We start from the raw sequence: 16548 nt of genomic DNA on the forward strand, positions 1-16548 counted from the left end.
CTACAAAAAAAAAAAAAAAAAAACCTAAAAAAATCACCCGTGGTGGCACACACCTATAGTCCTGGCTACTTGGGAAGCTAAGATGGGAGAATCGCTTGAGCCCAAGAGGTCGCAGCTGCAGTGAGCCATGTTGTTGCCACTGGACTCCAGCCTGGGCAACAGAGTGAGCTCCTATCTAAAAAAAAAAAAAAAAAAAAAAAAAAAAAAATAGAAAAGTGCAGAAATCATAAATATATACTAAATGAATTTGTATTATTTCCGTTTTCAGAATAAATCAACTACTTTATTAGAATTTGTTAAAATTTGTCCTTTGGCCGGGCGTGGTGGCTCACACCTGTAATCCCAACACTTTGGGAGGCTGAGGTGGGCAGATCACTTGAGCCTAGGAGCTCAGGACCAGCCTGGGCAACATGGTGAAACCCCATCTTTACAAAAAATACAAAAATTAGCCGGGCATGGTGGCCTATAGTCCCCGCTACTCAGGAGTCTGAGGCAGGAGGATCGCTTCAGCCCAGGAGGTCAAGGCTGCAGGGAGCCATGATTGCACCACTGCACTCCAGCCTGGGAAACAGAATGAGACCCTGTCCCAAAAACAAGAAACTCAAATTATTTATTTAACAGAGATATCCAGTCTTTTGGCTTCCCTGGGCCACATTGGAAGAAGAATGGTCTTGGGGCACACATAAAATACTAAAATACACTAATACTGACGATAGCTGATAAGCTTTAAAAAAATTGCAAAAAAGTCTCATAAATCTCATAATGTTTTAAGAAAGTTTTCCAGGCACGGTGGCTCACACCTGTAATCCCAGCACTTTGGGAGGCTGAGGCGGGCAGAACACAAGGTCAGGAGATCGAGACCATCCTGGCTAACACGATGAAACTCCATCTCTACTAAAAATACCAAAAAAAAAAAAATTAACTGGGCGTGGTGGCAGGCGCCTGTAGTCCCAGCTACTTAGGAGGCTGAGGCAGGAGAATGGCGTGAACCCGGGAGGCGGAGCTTGCAGTGGGCCGAGATCGTGCCACTGCAGTCCAGCCTGGGCGACAGAGCAAGACTCCGTCTCAAAAAAAAAAAAAAGTTTACAAATTTTTGTTGGGCCACATTTAAAGCCGTCCTAGGCCACAGATTGGACAAGCCTGGTGTAGTATATAGTCATCAAGTATTTCATGACTTTAGTACTATTTTAGGTACTGCTATAAAACTCATGCTGGTTGGGGGGCAGTGGTTCACGCCTATAATCCCAGCACTTTGGGAGTCTGAGGGAGGAAGATTGCTTGAGCCCAGGAGTTCAAGACCAGCCTGGACAAGACCCTGTCTCTACAGAAAATTTAAAAAATATATGCTTTCACAATAAAAAATAATAAAAACTGATGCTGTTCATGAGCTTATGGTCTTAAAAATTATATTCCTGTGGGTTTTTGGTATTCATATTATTTAACTACATTGTTTTGAATACATTTAGTTATTTCATTGTATAGAATATTATATATTTCTGTATATTTCTACATATTCATTTTTTGTATGTACAGAATGTTTTTCAGAGAAATAAAATACATTGGGAGCTTTATCATTTTCTTTCTTTGTTTTCCAAGGGAATTACCTTCAGAATTACAGGGAATTTTTGATAAAGAAGAGGTGGACGTTAAAGTTGAAGACAAGAAAAATGAAATATGTTTGTCTACGAAGCCTGTGTTCCAGCCCTTTTCAGGACAGGGTCACAGACTAGGAAGGTAAATATGCCTATTGTCTTGTTTTGCATAGATCAAGGCTTAACTAATATTCTGTCTATCAGTATTTTACCCATGTAGACCACATGAATGGAGCTTATCATTTCTCCCATTGGAAATCAGATTTTTTTTAATGTTAATTTTTATGAGGACACATAAGTCATAGTTACCTAAGTATATATTAACAATGCCTGGCCAGGCATAGTGGCTCATGCCTGTAATCCCAGCACTTTGGGAGGCCAAGGTGGGCGGATCACCTGAGATCGGGAGTTCGAGACCAGCCTGACCAACATGGAGAAACCCCGTCTCTACTAAAAATACAAAAAATTAGCCAGGCGTGGTGGCATGTGTCTGTAATCCCAGCTCCTCGGGAGGCTGAGGCAGGAGAATCGCTTGAACCTGGGAGGCAGAGATTGCGGTGAGCCGAGATCGCGCCATTGCTCTCCAGTCTGGGCAACAAGAGTGAAACTCTGTCTCAAAAAAAAAGAAATGCCAGCAATACAGTAAAAAATCATGCAGGCTTTTTTGTTTTTCTTTTTTTCAAATCAAAAGGGCTTGGCTTATTAAGGACAGAATTCAATAGTTAAGTTCTTTTGTGTCCCTTGCACTCACCACTGTAGAGTACATGTACTAGCTTTTGAATATTATTGTTCTCTTTTTTTTGAGACAGAGCCTCACTTTGTTGCCCAGGCTGGAGTGCAGTGGCATGATCTTGGCTCACTGCAACTTCTGCCTCCCTGGTTCAAGCAATCCTCCTGCCTCAGCCCCTCTAGTAGCTGGGATTACAGGCATACACCACCACGCCCAGCCAATTTTTGTATTTTTAGTAGAGACAGGGTTTCGCCATGTTGGCCAGGCTGGTCTTGAACTCCTGACCGCAGGTGATCCACCCACCTCGGCCTCCCAAAGTGCTGGGATTACAGGTGTGAGCCACCGCACCCAGCCTATTGTTCTCTTTTATGGTTACCACTGTCTGCAACATTTTGTTCTGTGATCTATGTATGAATTTTGAGGTAATAAAAATGAAAATCAGTGTCAGTATCAAAGCCTTAAATTATTTTCAAGTTTTACAGTTTCCATCCTATCTAACAGAATATGCAGAGAGATTATATAGATATGAGAGCTCTTTGATTTTTATAAATTCTCATATTTTAAATTATCAAGATTGGTAAGGTGCATACATATTCATCCACACATACAAATATATCTGGATGCATCCTTCAGAATGATCAGGAAGTACTTTATTTAGTTTCTTTTTCATTATAACCTAAGGACTAAGCTCAATAAAGAACTTATAATTTCTTCTAGAAATTTAACCTGGGCAGTAGGTAAAGGTAAAGTCCATAGATCTATGAACCTTCTTTAAAATTATCCATTCTGTAAAGCACTACTCAAATAATACCAGTAATAATATATGTAGCTTACAAATTACTCAGATATGTATAACTTCATCAGATTCTTAGAACCATCATATATTGTGGACATAAATAATATATCTTTCTGTTATTACTGAAGAAACACATATAACTTAAAAAATCTTCCTTAAAGTTATACTTGCTATAATATTTTTATAGTAATTATTTAATAATAAAGTTTTATTGAATGGAAAAAACGTCTAACTTTGTTGTCTGGATTTCCTTAGTGCCACACCAAAAATTGTTTCTAAAGCAAAGAATATTGAAGTTGAAAATAAAAATAATTTGTCTGCTGTTCCACTGAACAACTTGGAACCCATTACTAATATACAGATCTGGTTGGCCAATGGAAAAAGGATTGTCCAGAAATTTAACATTACTCATAGGTGAGTCTTCAATTTCAGTATTTGATATTTTTTCACCAAGTTAAAATTTCATTTTTTCTTTTTGGTTCAGTCAACAGTTTATTTTTTAGAGATAGAATCTTTCTTTGTTGCCCAGGCCAGAGTGCAGTGGCACAGTCATAGCTCACTGCAGTCTTGAAGTCCTGGATTCAAGCAATCCTCCCACCTCAGCCTCCTGAGTTGTAGAACTACAGCCACATGCCACCATGCCCAGCTAACTTTTTTTTTTTAATTTTTATTTATTGCCAGCTAATTTTAAAAATTGTTTTGTAGAAAGGGAGTCTCACTGTGTTGCCCACACTGGTCTCAAACTCCTGGACTGAATTCATCGTCCTGCCTTAGCCTGCCAAAGTGCTGGGATTACAGGCATGAGCCATCGCATCCTGCCAAGCATTTTATTTATTTATTTATTTTTTTGAGTCGGAGTCTCGCTCTGTTGCCCAGGCTGGAGTGTAGTGGCACGATCTCAGCTCACTGCAACCTCTGCCTCCCAGCTTCAAGTGATTGTCCTGCCTCAGCGTCCAATGTAGCTGGGATTACAGGTTTGCACCACCAAGCCCGGCTAATTTTTGTATTTTTAGTAGAGACGGGGTTTCACCAGGAGTTTGGCCAGGGTGGTCTCAAACTTCTGACCTCAAGTGATCTGCCCGCTTTGGCCTCCCAAAGTGCTAGGATTACAGGAGTGAGCCACCTCGACCAGCCTGGCCAAACATTTTAATAAATAGTTCTCTAAACATAATTATGTCTAGACAGTTTTTTTTTTTTTTTGAGGCAAGGTCTCACTCTGTCACCCAGGCTGGAGTAGAGTGGCGCGAGCCACCGTGCCCAGCTGATAATGGGTATTTTTAAACATTGAATGAGGTAGGCCAGGTGCAATGGCCCATGCCTGTAATCCCAGCACTTTGAGGGGCCAAGGCAGGAGGATCACTTGAGCTCAGGAGTTCAAGATCAGCCTGGGCCATATAGTGAGACCTCGTGTCTACAAAAAAATTTTTTTAAATTAGCTGAACATGGTGATGCACATCCGTAGTCCCAGCTACTTGGGAGGAGAATTGCTTGAGCCCAGGAGGTAGAGACTGCAGTGAGCCGAATTGCACCATTACACTGCAAGCCTGGGTGACATTGAGACCCTGTCTCAAAAAATAAAAATAATCATAACAATAACAGTAATGAAGTTGGCCGGGCACGGTGGCTCACACCTGTAATCCCAGCACTTTGGGAGGCCGAGACGGGTGGATCACGAGGTCAGGAGATCGAGACCATCCTGGCTAACACGGTGAAACCCTGTCTCTACTAAAAATACAAAAAAAATTAGCCGGGCGTGGTGGTGGGCGCCTGTAGTCCCAGCTACTCTGGAGGCTGAGGCAGGAGAATGGCGTGAACCCGGAAGGCGGAGCTTGCAGTGAGCCGAGATTGCGCCACTGCACCCCAGCCTGAGCGATTGAGCAAGACTCCATCTCAAAAAATAATAATAATAATAATAGTAATAATAATGAAGTATTTTCAGTCTGTTTTAGGATTTTCATTCTCATCATTTGATTCATTTTTCTGTTTAAGTAGATGCATAATTATAAAAGAATTATTTTTAATGTTTTAAATTAGTCATTAGCATTATATGCATATCCTTCTGTCAATTATAGTGAAAGAATGAAAATACAGAAAAACATTAAAAGAAATTGAAGTTAATATGAATTCCACCACTCAGAGATAATCAATAGTATCAGTTTGATGCATTTTTCCAGTCTTTTATCTCTTCCTAAAAGCTTTTTTTTTTTTTTTGAGACGGGGTCTTCTGCCACCCAGGCTGGAGTGCAGTGGCACGATCTCAGCTCACTGCAACCTTCATCCCCCGGGTTCAAGCGATTCTCCTGCCTCAGCCTCCTGAGTAGCTGGGATTACAGGCACGTGCCACCATGCCTGGCTAATTTTTGTATTTTTAGTAGAGATGGGGTTTTGCCATATTGCCCAGGCTGGTCTCAAACTCCTGACCTCAGGTGATCCACCCACCTCGGCCTCCCAAGGTGCTGGGATTACAAGCATGAGCCACCGTGCCCAGCCTTCTTAAAAGCTTTTTTTTGGCTGGGTGTCGTGGCTCATTCTTGTAGTCCCAGCAATTTGGGAGGCTGGGGACTATTCAGGAGGCTGAGGTGGGAGAATCACCTGAGCCCCGGAGGTTGAGGCTGTGATGAGCCATGATCTCACCACTGTACCCCAGCCTGGGTGACAGAGCAAGACCCTGTCTCAAAAGGAAAAAAAAAAAGTTTGTTTTGTTTTAATTAAAAATAGAAACATGTCATATATAGCATATGTAATTTTTCTTTTTTTAAAAAAATTTTTTTTCAGGAAATGTGGTACAGATAAATAACAAATATAGGGAGAGAGTTAAAAGAATAAGAATAAAATACATATGTACCACCTACCTCAAAACATAGATTCTTATCAGTATACCTTATGTGTCTTTCTGTGATCATGTCTCTTCTTCTGTGGAAGAGGTAAATAACCACTGTCCTAAATTTGTGTTGATAATTTGCTGCTTTTATTTATAGCTTTACCTAGTATATATGTATTGCTAAAATAGACTAAATTGTTTTGCTTATTTCCAAATAATTACTCTGAATTTCAAACCAGCAAAAACTTACAGAAAAAGGACCTGGCACGGTGGCTCACGCCTGTAATCCCAGCACTTTGGGAGGCCGAGGTGAGCAGATTACGAGGTCAGGAGATGGAGACCATCCTGGCAAGCACGGTGAAACCCCATCTCTACTAAAAATACAAAAAATTAGCCGGGCGTGGTGGCAAGTGCCTGTAGTCCCAGCTACTCGGGAGGCTGAGGCAGGAGAATGGCGTGAACCTGGGAGGTGGAGCTTGCATTAAGCCGAGATCGCGCCACTGCACTCCAGCCTGGGGGACAGAACGAGACTCCATCTCAAAAAAAAAAAAAACAAAAAAAACTTACAGAAAATGTTCAAGAACAATATAAAGAACTTTTCTTGGCCAGGTGCAGTGGCTCACGCCTATAATCCCAGCATTTTAGGAGACCGAGGCAGGCAGATCACAAGGTCAGGAGTTTGAGACCAGCCTGACCAAAATGGTAAAACCCCATCTCTACTAAAAATACAAAAAATTAGCTGGCCGTCGTGGCGTATGTCTGTAATCTCAGCTACTCAGGAGGCTGAGGCAGGAGAATCACTTGAACCTGGGAGGCAGAGGTTGTAGTGGGCTGGGATCGTGCCACTGCAGTCCAGCCAGGGTGACAGAGTGAGGCTCCATCTCAAAAAAAAAAAAAAAAAGAAAGAAAAAACTTTTCTCCCTAAGCATTCAAGAGTTAGTGCCAGTCTGATGACCCATCACTTGAAATACTTAGGTATAGATTATCTGTAAACAAGGAACTTCTCCCACATAACCACAATACAGCCATTTAAATCAGGAAACTTAACCTTAATACGCTTGTATCGACTAATAGACCCTAATTCAGGGTTTTCCATTTTATCTAATACCTTCCTTTATAGCAAAAGGCCATTCAGAATTACACATTGCACTTAGTTGTCGTATCTCAGTTTGAAATAGTTCCTTGTCTTCCTTTGATTTTTATAACCTTGACTTTTTAAAATATTACAAGCCAATTTGTTTTGTTTGATGCTTCCTCATGATTATATTTAGGTCACTAATTTTGGCAGGGGTGTGACAGAACTAATGCTTTGTACCTCTCATTGTATTCCAACAGGTGGCATCATTTACATTTGTCCCATTATGATGATGTTAAATTTGACACTCGATTAAAGTGGTGTCTACCAGAGTCCTTTACTGTAAAGTTACTCATTTTCCCTTTGTAATTAATCTGTATTTAGTGGGAAGGACTTTGAAATAGGATACTTATGTTGCTCACAAGACCTCAGATTGATTGATTGATTGATTTGTGTCTATACCTACTCATAGTTTGCTATTTTATTCAATAGTTTATGAACTCTTACCATCATTATTTATTTTGATATGCACATTGTCTCAGGTACAGTTTGTGAGACGTCCTTTAAACTGATTCCTGTGTTATTTTGAAATGGTCCCATAATTCTTGAACATTTCCTTGTTTTCAGCACAAAATTTTTTTTCAAGTTCATTCTACGCTTTTCCAGGAATCCCTAGTTCTTTTTAGTGGACAGCGGTATTGACAATCCAGGATCTGGGTACTAGATATGCTTATTGCTTATCAGGATACCACTGCTTCCAGGCCCTCTGTTTGAAAAGAATTGTTTGTGTGCACACGCACACACACACACGCCAAAAAGAAAACTATTTCAAAAATTGAAGAGGGGATACTTCCAGACTCATTCTATGAGGCCAGCATTACCCTGATACCAAAATCAACAAAGACACACACAAAAAACCTATACATATACATATGTGTGTGTGTGTGTGTGTATGTATATATATGCACTTAAGTTTATATCTGTATTTATTCCTTTTTTTTTTTTTTTGAGACAGGGTCTCACTCTGTCTCCCAGGTTGGAGTGTAGTGGTATAATTACAGATCACTGCAGCCTCCACCTCCCCAGACTCAGGTGATCCTCCTCAGTTTTTATACTTTTAATAGAGAGGGGGTTTCACCCTGTTGCCTAGGCTGGTCTCAAACTCCTGGACTCAAGCGATCCACCTGCCTCGGCCTCCCAAAGTGCTAGGATTACAGGCATGAGCCACCACACCCGGCCTTATTTCTATATTTTTATATATCAAAAACCGTGAATCCACGTAGATACATCCACTTTCAGTCTGGTAGGGCCAGGCGTGGTGGCTCATACCTGTAATCCCAGCACTTTGGGAGGCCAAGGCGGGCAGATCACTGGAGCCTAGCAGTTCAAAACCAGTCTGGGCAACATGGTGAAACTCTATCTCTACAAAAAACACAAAAAGTTGCCAGACGTGGTGGCACTCACCTGTGGTCTCAGATACTCGGGAGGCTGAAGTAGGAGGATCACCTGTACCCTGGGGAGGTTGAGGCTGCAATAAGCTGTGATTGCACCACTGCATTCCAGCCTGGGCAATAGAACCAGACCTTGTCTCAAAAAATATCTATATAAGGATTGTTCTAATTTTCTCCTTTCCATATTTGTAACTAACTTCTACAGTGCAAGGCCTGGCTCCAGTTATAATTAACACATTTATTTAATCAGTTTTCCTATATGTGACCAATGTCCTTTTTCCACTGCTGCCTCCTACCCCACATGTAAGCCTTCCTCACACTGCTTGGGCTTTGACTCTCCTTGTTGAATTCCAATATGGATTCCCTCCTCTTCCTGCTAGGCTCTCTGACACATCATCACCCCAGGGCACCCCTTCACTGGAATGCCCTCTCACACTGCTTGACTTGAGGACTCTATGCCAGTGACCTCCTCTGCTTGGTAGACTGACATTCTGGGCTGCCTCTAAGATGCTCTCCTCACCACTGTCTGGTTCTGACACACTGCAGTCAACTGCTCTTCCATATGAATGCTTTTTTACTCTGCTTGGGACAACCTGCTCTGTTGTGATTTTTACTGGGCAATAGCTGACTGATTCAGCCATGTAAACTTGGACTGTTACCCATAAAGGTAGACTGAATAATTATTTTTATAATGGAAGACAGTAATCAAAAAATATTTGCAGCTGGGCGTGGTGGCTCAGGCCTGAAATCCCAGCACTTTGGGAGGCCGGGGGGGCGGGGGGGCGGATCACTTGAGGTCGGAAGTTCAAGACCAACCTGGCCAACATGGTGAAACCCCATCTCCACAAAAAATACAAAAATTAGCTGAGTGTGGTGGCCCACTCCTGTAATCCCAGCTACTTGGGAGGCTGAAGCAGGAGAATGGCTTGAACCCAGGAGGTGGAGGTTGCAGTGAGCTGAAATCACACCACTGCACTCCAGCCTGGGTGACAGAGTGAGACTCCATCTCAAAAAAAAAAAAAAAGTATTTGCTATGGCTGCACACATAAACATGGATGAGTCCCAAAAACATAATGTAGAGATAAAGCTATAGAACACATACACTATGATTCCATTCATGTCAGGTTTAAAAAAGTAAAACTGTCCTTAAAAGCTACTAAGCCATGACTACTCTTCTCCTACCCACCAGCTTGGATATTTTTCCTCACCCCACTTGGCCTCTGACATCCTACACTAGACAGCTCTTATATGGGCCACCACAACTCCCAGCATTTCTGAAATAGATGCCTCCCATGTTCTGTCCTACTAATGGCTTGGTGGCTTTTGGACTGAATCATTAAAAAATTGTGTTTTTCTTCCGTTTTTTCTGCTTATTTTATTAGTTACCAAGAAAGTTGTGCTAAAATCTCCAACTATGATTATGGATTTGTCTATTTCTTATTTACTTCTGTCAATGTTTGCTTTATATATTTTAAAGTTATATAATTGGGTCCAGCAGAGATGAAATTGTGTTTTTCTGATTAATTGACTTTGTTGGGGAGAAAAGATTTTCTTCGCCCATTGCCTAGATTCATGGCTGAGACCCCTTTAACAAAAGACAGATTAACAAAAGAAATGCATGTGATTTTATATTTTATTTTATACACACACACACACACACACACACATATACATATATATATATTATATTTTTTTCTGTCTTTTTTGTTTTGTTTTGTTTTTGAGATGGAGTCTCTCTCTGTTGCCTAGGCTGGAGTGCAGTGGTGTGATCTCGGCTCACTGCAACTTCTGCCTCCCAGGTTCAAGCAATTCTCCCTGCCCCAGACTCCTGAGTAACTGGGATCACAGGCGCCTATCACCACACCTGGCTAATTTTTTTTGTATTTTTAGTAGAGAAAGGGTTTGCCATGTTGGCCAGTCTGGTCTCGAACTGCTGATCTCAGGTGGTCCGCTCACCTTGGCCTCCCAAAGTGCTGGGATTACAGGCGTGAGCCACAGTGCCCGGCCTTTTTTGTTTTTTGTTTGTTTGTTTTGTTTTGTTTTTTTGAGACAGTCTCAACTCTGTTGCCTAGGCTGGAGTGCAGTGGCATGATCTTGGCTCATTGAAACCTCTGCCTCCTGGGTTCAAGCAATTCTCGTCCCTCAGCCTCCCAAGTAGCTGGGATTATAGGCACCTGCCACCACGCCTGGCTAATTTTTGGGGTTTTTTGTTTTGTTTTGTTTTTTGAGATGGAGTCTTGCTCTGTCGCCAGGCTGGAATGCAGTGGCGCAATCTCAGCTCACTGCAACCTCCGCCTCCCTGGTTCATGCGATTCTCCTGCCTCAGCCTCCCGAGTAGCTGGGACTACAGGTGTGTGCCACCATGCCCAGCTAATTTTTGTATTTTTAGTAGAGATGGGGTTTCACCATGTTGGCCAGGCTGGTCTTGATCTCCTGACCTCATGATCCTCCTGCCTCGGCCTCCCAAAGTGCTGGGATTACAGGCATGAGCCACCGCGCCCAGCCTAATTTTGGTATTTTTAGTAGAGACAGGGTTTCGCCATGTTGGCCAGGCTGGTCTTGAACTCCTGGCCTAAGTTTGATGAGGAAGTGGATAGTTTGTGGAGAAGTATGATTGGAGGGCAAAAGGGGTATGATCTAATGGTAATAAATTAAGGGGAACTTAGCTTAGCCTGTTCGTTCAGATTCTTCGTGGCATCTCTGCATCTTCAAGGATAAGGTTGTTCCTTTCCTCTGGGTATACGAACAATACCTCGGAAAGGAAGGTTTTATGACCTACTTCAGAGGAAGGACAGATAATTTCTTTTTTGGTCTGCTTTGAGGGGAGAAGGGCAAGGGGAGAATGAGACTGATCTACCTGTTTCTGCTGTTTCCTCAAATGCCAAGGTGCCATATTTTAGGGTAGCATATCTTGAACCCTGTCAACCTTTTTAGCACTGTCACATGTCTCTCTCAATCCTTGGTAATGCTTTTTGTGTTAAATCTACTCTGCCTGATATTAATATGGTCATAACAGCTTCCTTCTAATTAGTATTTGCCTGGTATATTTTTCTACTTACTTTTAATTTCAACGTATCTGTATATATTTATCTGTGTGTGTATTTAAAACTATCTCTTGTAAATAGTTGAGTTTTGTTTTTAAATCTAGGCTAACAGTATTAGTTTCTGGTTTTGTGGGGTTTTTTCCTCCTGTTTTACTCTGCAAGGAGGTTTCTGTTTTGTGGATTTCTTTAGCTACCATCTACCTGGTGCTTTCTATGTGTTTGGCTCTCTTGAAGGCATTTCACTTTTATTTCTGTCAAAACCATTCTAGACAGCTGGAATCACACAACTGATTATCATAATAATAGAAGAAGCACAAGTTTGAAATTGTGTCCTGGAATGTTCTTTTGTGACCTAAATTCCTTCCAAATGAAGAGGAGAGCAAACTAAAGATGTAGAAATGGGAATGGGGATTTGTTATTCTGGCCCAAGCTTATTTGTTTATCTTCAGGGAAATAAATTTTAATCTTGACTTGTTTATCTAGGTGAATAACAATGAAACACGTAGCTTTTTTTCCCCCTAAATGACTGAAGCGTTTAAAAATTTTTGGCCAACAGCATTTATTTAGTAATGATTAATCAGGCTTTTTCTTTTCTGTTTTAAATATATAATATATTTTGGTAGAGACAGGGTCTCACCTGCTGGGATTATAGGCTTGAGCCACTGCCCCTGGCCAACAATTTCACTCTGTTACTCTCTTCCTTTTTGCTATTTTTGTCAACAAATATGTTACTTCTACGAACATTTTAACAACCCTCAAAATGCTATTACTTGTAAACAATATTCACTTATATATCATTTTACTTTTTCTGTTTTTTACCCAGTTTGATGTTTTAGCCTGAACAATTATGCTTAGTATCTCTTAAATTTTTTTAATTTTTTAATTTTTTTTTTTTTTCAAGACAGAGTCTTGCTCTGTCACCTGGTTGGAGCGCAGCGGAGTGATCTCAGCACACTGCGACCTCTGCCTCCCTGGTTCAAGCAATTCTCCTGTCTCAGCTTCCCAAGTAGCTGGCATTACAGGCATGCGCTACCACACCCAGCTAATTTTTGTATTTTTTTGGTAGAGACAGGGTTTCACCATGTTGGCCAGGCTGGTCTCCAACTCCTGACCTTGTGGTCCGCCTCGGCTTCCCAAAGTGCTGGGATTACAGGCGTGAGTCACCGAGCCCTGCCTTTAGTATCTCTTTAATTGCTTATCTACTAATGATGAATTCTCTTAGCTTTGATTTGAACACATCTTCATTTTTAAAGACCATTTTCACTAGGCTAGAACTGTCAGGTTTTTCTAGCACATCAGCTCTTAAGAATGCCCATATGTTGTCTTCCAGCTTCCACTCTCCTACTCAAAAATCAGCTGTCAGCCTTTTTCTTGCTCTTTTGAAAGATATTAAGTCTTTTTTCCTCTCAGTTTAAAATTTTTCTCTTTGTTCTTAGATTTTAATAGCTTGAATATGATGTGCCTAGGTGTTAGTTATCTTTGCATTATATTGCTTAGAATTTGCTGAGTTTCTTGGATCCATAGTTAAGGTTTTTTGTCAGTTTGGGGAGTTTCTTGGCCAGTATTGATGGAAATGTTCTCGTATTTTATTCTCTTTTGTCTTTGGCATTTGTGGCTTTATTTACATGTATGTTAGATGTTTTCAGTGTATCTTATATTCTTTTCTAATTTTTTTCTTCTTTTTCCTTCTGATTCAGTCTGCATATTTTCTATTTGACCTGTCTTCGAGTTCAGTAATCTGTTGTATTGGTCTGGTCTGTTAAATACATGTGTTGGAATTCTTACTTTCAATTCTACTGTCACTTGTAGACTTTTCATTTGAGTCTGTTATTTTTCAGGTGTCTGGTGAAATTCCTCATCTTTTTATTTTATCTGTTGCTTCTTCTGGATTTTAGCATACCTTATAATTCATCTGGTCATTAGACCTTGTTTATGGAAACATTGTAGACGTTTCAGATGACATCATCTTCCTCCAAAGATACCTATGCTTCTATCAGACAGATTCCTAATGGATTATGTTGATTTTATTAAGAGTTAGTTGGATTGACTGTAGACTTTACTGGGGCTGGTTGGTTATCTGTTTTGCTTTTAGAGCATGGACTTGAACCTTAGGGTCTGACCCTTAGAAGTGGTGAAAACCTGGGTGTTTACCAAGACTCCTCCACATTGGCAGAGCTTAAACTCTAGAGTCTGTGTGCCCAGCATTTTGGAGCTGCTAGAATCTCTCCTCAGTCGCTGTTTTCTGTTGGGTTCTTTGAATTCTCATTCTACTAATAGCTGAGGAGTTAGCCAATAACTTAAGAATTTGTTACGGTTTTCTGGTCACGTTTCTTTATGGGTCCCTCTGTTTCAGGATTTTGGCTTATAAATCCCAGCTTCTTGTCTCTCCTTGGTGTAGTGAAATGGCTTTTTTTTTTCCCTCTAATTCACTGCTACAAATTGGAAAGTGCCCTCAGTGAAAAAACCAGTGTAAATGTGGAGCTCACCTTGTGCATTTCCTTCCTACAGGGCTCTCAGATGATTTACATTGGTTGGTCTTCAGTGCTTTCACATAGCGCTTTTATGTTTAGACGCTCCTTGACTTATGATGTAATGTCCCAATAAGCCCATCCACGTTGAAAATGCATTTACCCAGCACTTTGGGAGGCTGAGGCGGGCGGATCACGAGGTCAGGAGATCGAGACCATCCTGGCTAACATGGTGAAACCCCGGATCTACTAAAAATACAAAAAAAATTAGCCAGGCGTGGTAGCGGGCGTCTGTAGTCCCAGCTACTCGGGAGGCTGAGGCAGGAGAATGGTGTGAACCCAGGGGGCGGAGCTTGCAGTGAGCCAAGATCACGCCACTGCACTCCAGCCTGGGCGACAGAGCAAGACTCTGTCTCAAAAAAAAAAAAGAAAAGAAAAAAAAAAGAAAATGCATTTAATACCCTGATGAACCCATTGTAAAGTTGAAAAATAGTTACGTCAAAGCATTTTAAGTCTGTATATTGTCCAGCTTTTATAGCAATATTTTTAGGAGCACTACTTCAATAAAAGCCATTTCATCAATGATCAAAACAAAATCCTCTTATTGTCTTTTTATTTTTTATTTATTTGTTTTTTTGAGATGAATTCTTGTTCTGTCACCCAATTTGGAGTGCAGTGGCTCAATCTCGGCTCACTGCAACCTGCACCACCTCCCAGGTTCGAGCAATTCTCCTGCCTCAGCCTTCCAAGTAGCTGGGATTACAGGTGTGCGTCACCACGCCTGGCTAATTTTTTTTTTTTTTTTTTTGAGTCAGAGTCTTGCTCTGTCGCCAAGGCTGGAGTGCAGTGGCATGATCTCGGCTCACTGCAACCTCTGTTTCCTGGGTTCAAGTGATTCTCCTGCCTCAGCCTCCCGAGTAGCTGGGACTACAGGCGCGTGCCACCATGCTTGGCTAATTTTTTATATTTTTAGTAGAAACAGTGTTCACCATATTGGCCAGGCTGGTCTTGAACTCCTGAACTCAGGTGATCTGTCTGCCTCAGCCTCCTAAAGTGCTGAGAGTACAGGCATGAGTCACCATGCCCAGCCCTCTTAATGTCTTTTTACACTCTGCTGAATCTTTAGTTATGCTGCATTTGCATTCCTATTGTTGTTCAATTATGCCTTCTCTTTTTCTGTTTTCTTTTTTCTTTTTCTTTTTCTTTTTTTTTTTTTTAAGATAGAGTTTCGCTCTTGTTGCCCAGGCTGGAGTGCAGTGGCACGATCTCGGCTCACTGCAACCTCCACCTTACGGTTTCAAGAGATTCTCCTGCCTCAGCCTCCCAAGTAGCTGGAACTACAGGCGCCTGCCACCATGCCCAGCTAATTTTTGTATTTTTAGTAGAGATGGGGTTTCACCATGTTGGTCAGGCTGGTCTCGAACTCCTGACCTCATGATCTACCCGCCTCAGCCTCCCAAAGTGCTGGGATCACAGGCATGAGCCACCATGCCCAGACTTTTTTTTTTTTTTTTAATAAGAGATGGGGTCTCGCTATGTTGCCCAGGCTGGATTGGCAGGGCTATTCACAGGTGCGATCCCACTACTGATCAGCACAGGAGTTTTTACTTGCTCAATTTCTGACCTGGGCTGGTTCCCCCCACCTTAGGGAACCTCTTTCACCTGGAGTTCACCATATTGATTCCAAAGTTACTGCGAGCACCTGATTGCCATAGCACACTACAGCCCCGGAAATCCTGGGCTCAGGGAATCCTCCCACCTCAGCTTCCCAAGTAGCTGGGACTATACGCATGTGCCACTGCGCCCAGTGCTGTTTTCTTTTTTATTTAGAGATAGGGTCTTGCTATATTGCCTAGATTGATCTGGAATTCCTGGGCTCAAGTGATCCTCCTGCTTTGGCCTCCCAAAGTCCTGGGATTACAAGTGTGAGCCAGCCTATTTTTCTTGATAAATCTTGTCAGATTTGTTCATTTTTATTAGTCTCTTTAAATACTAACTTTCTGCTTAGTCAATTCTATTTCTGAAAATACCTTTATACTTTCATTGGATTTATTTTCTTCTTTTGGTAAATTAGATGTTAAGGCTGTGATAAAATAGCAATTTACATAAGCACATCTGATTTCTTATATCTCTGGATTTAAGAATGTCAACAGTCTAAAGCCTTTATTTATTTATTTTTATTTATTTATTTTTGAGACGGAGTCCTGCTCTGTCGCCCAGGCTGGAGTGCAGTGGCGCAATCTCGGCTCACTGCAACCTCTGCCTCCCAGGTTCAAGCGATTCTCCTGCCTCAGCCTCCTAAGTACCTGGGACTACAGGCACCACCACACCCAGCTAGTTTTTGTATTTTTAGTAGAGACGGAATTTCACCATGTTGGCCAGGATGGTCTCAGTCTCTTGATCTCGTGATCTGCCTGCCTCGGCCTCCCAAAGTGCTGGGATTACAGGTGTGAGCCACCGTACCCGGCCTCTAAAGCCTTTATATATTGCATTTGTTTTGATTTTATTAGTTTTGCCAGAACTTTATTTTAATATTTTCTTTTTTTTTTTTTTAAGATGGAGTCTTGCTCT

General features: G+C 41.5%; 1 protein-coding gene and 1 pseudogene across 10 annotated transcripts in view; one reads left to right on the forward strand and one right to left on the reverse strand.

Moving 5' to 3' along the window:
• The window catches only part of UBXN2A (UBX domain protein 2A), a 77632-nt gene that overhangs the window by 54022 nt on the left and 7062 nt on the right, over positions 1 to 16548 (forward strand). For 9 of the 10 annotated variants that reach the window (XM_005264168.6, XM_011532633.4, XM_005264166.6 and 6 more), the window contains 2 exons: positions 1597 to 1734; positions 3374 to 3532. In XM_005264168.6, coding sequence (XP_005264225.1) covers positions 1597 to 1734; positions 3374 to 3532 — 297 coding nt within the window. Of the gene's footprint in view, positions 1 to 1596; positions 1735 to 3373; positions 3533 to 6178; positions 7347 to 16548 lie in introns of those variants that run through there. The other variant, XM_047443581.1, reaches the window with a different exon arrangement.
• On the reverse strand, positions 15496 to 15783 carry RN7SL610P (RNA, 7SL, cytoplasmic 610, pseudogene; annotated as a pseudogene).

Source organism: Homo sapiens, chromosome 2, assembly GCF_000001405.40.
Source record: "Homo sapiens chromosome 2, GRCh38.p14 Primary Assembly".
Classification (NCBI taxonomy): domain Eukaryota; kingdom Metazoa; phylum Chordata; class Mammalia; order Primates; family Hominidae; genus Homo; species Homo sapiens.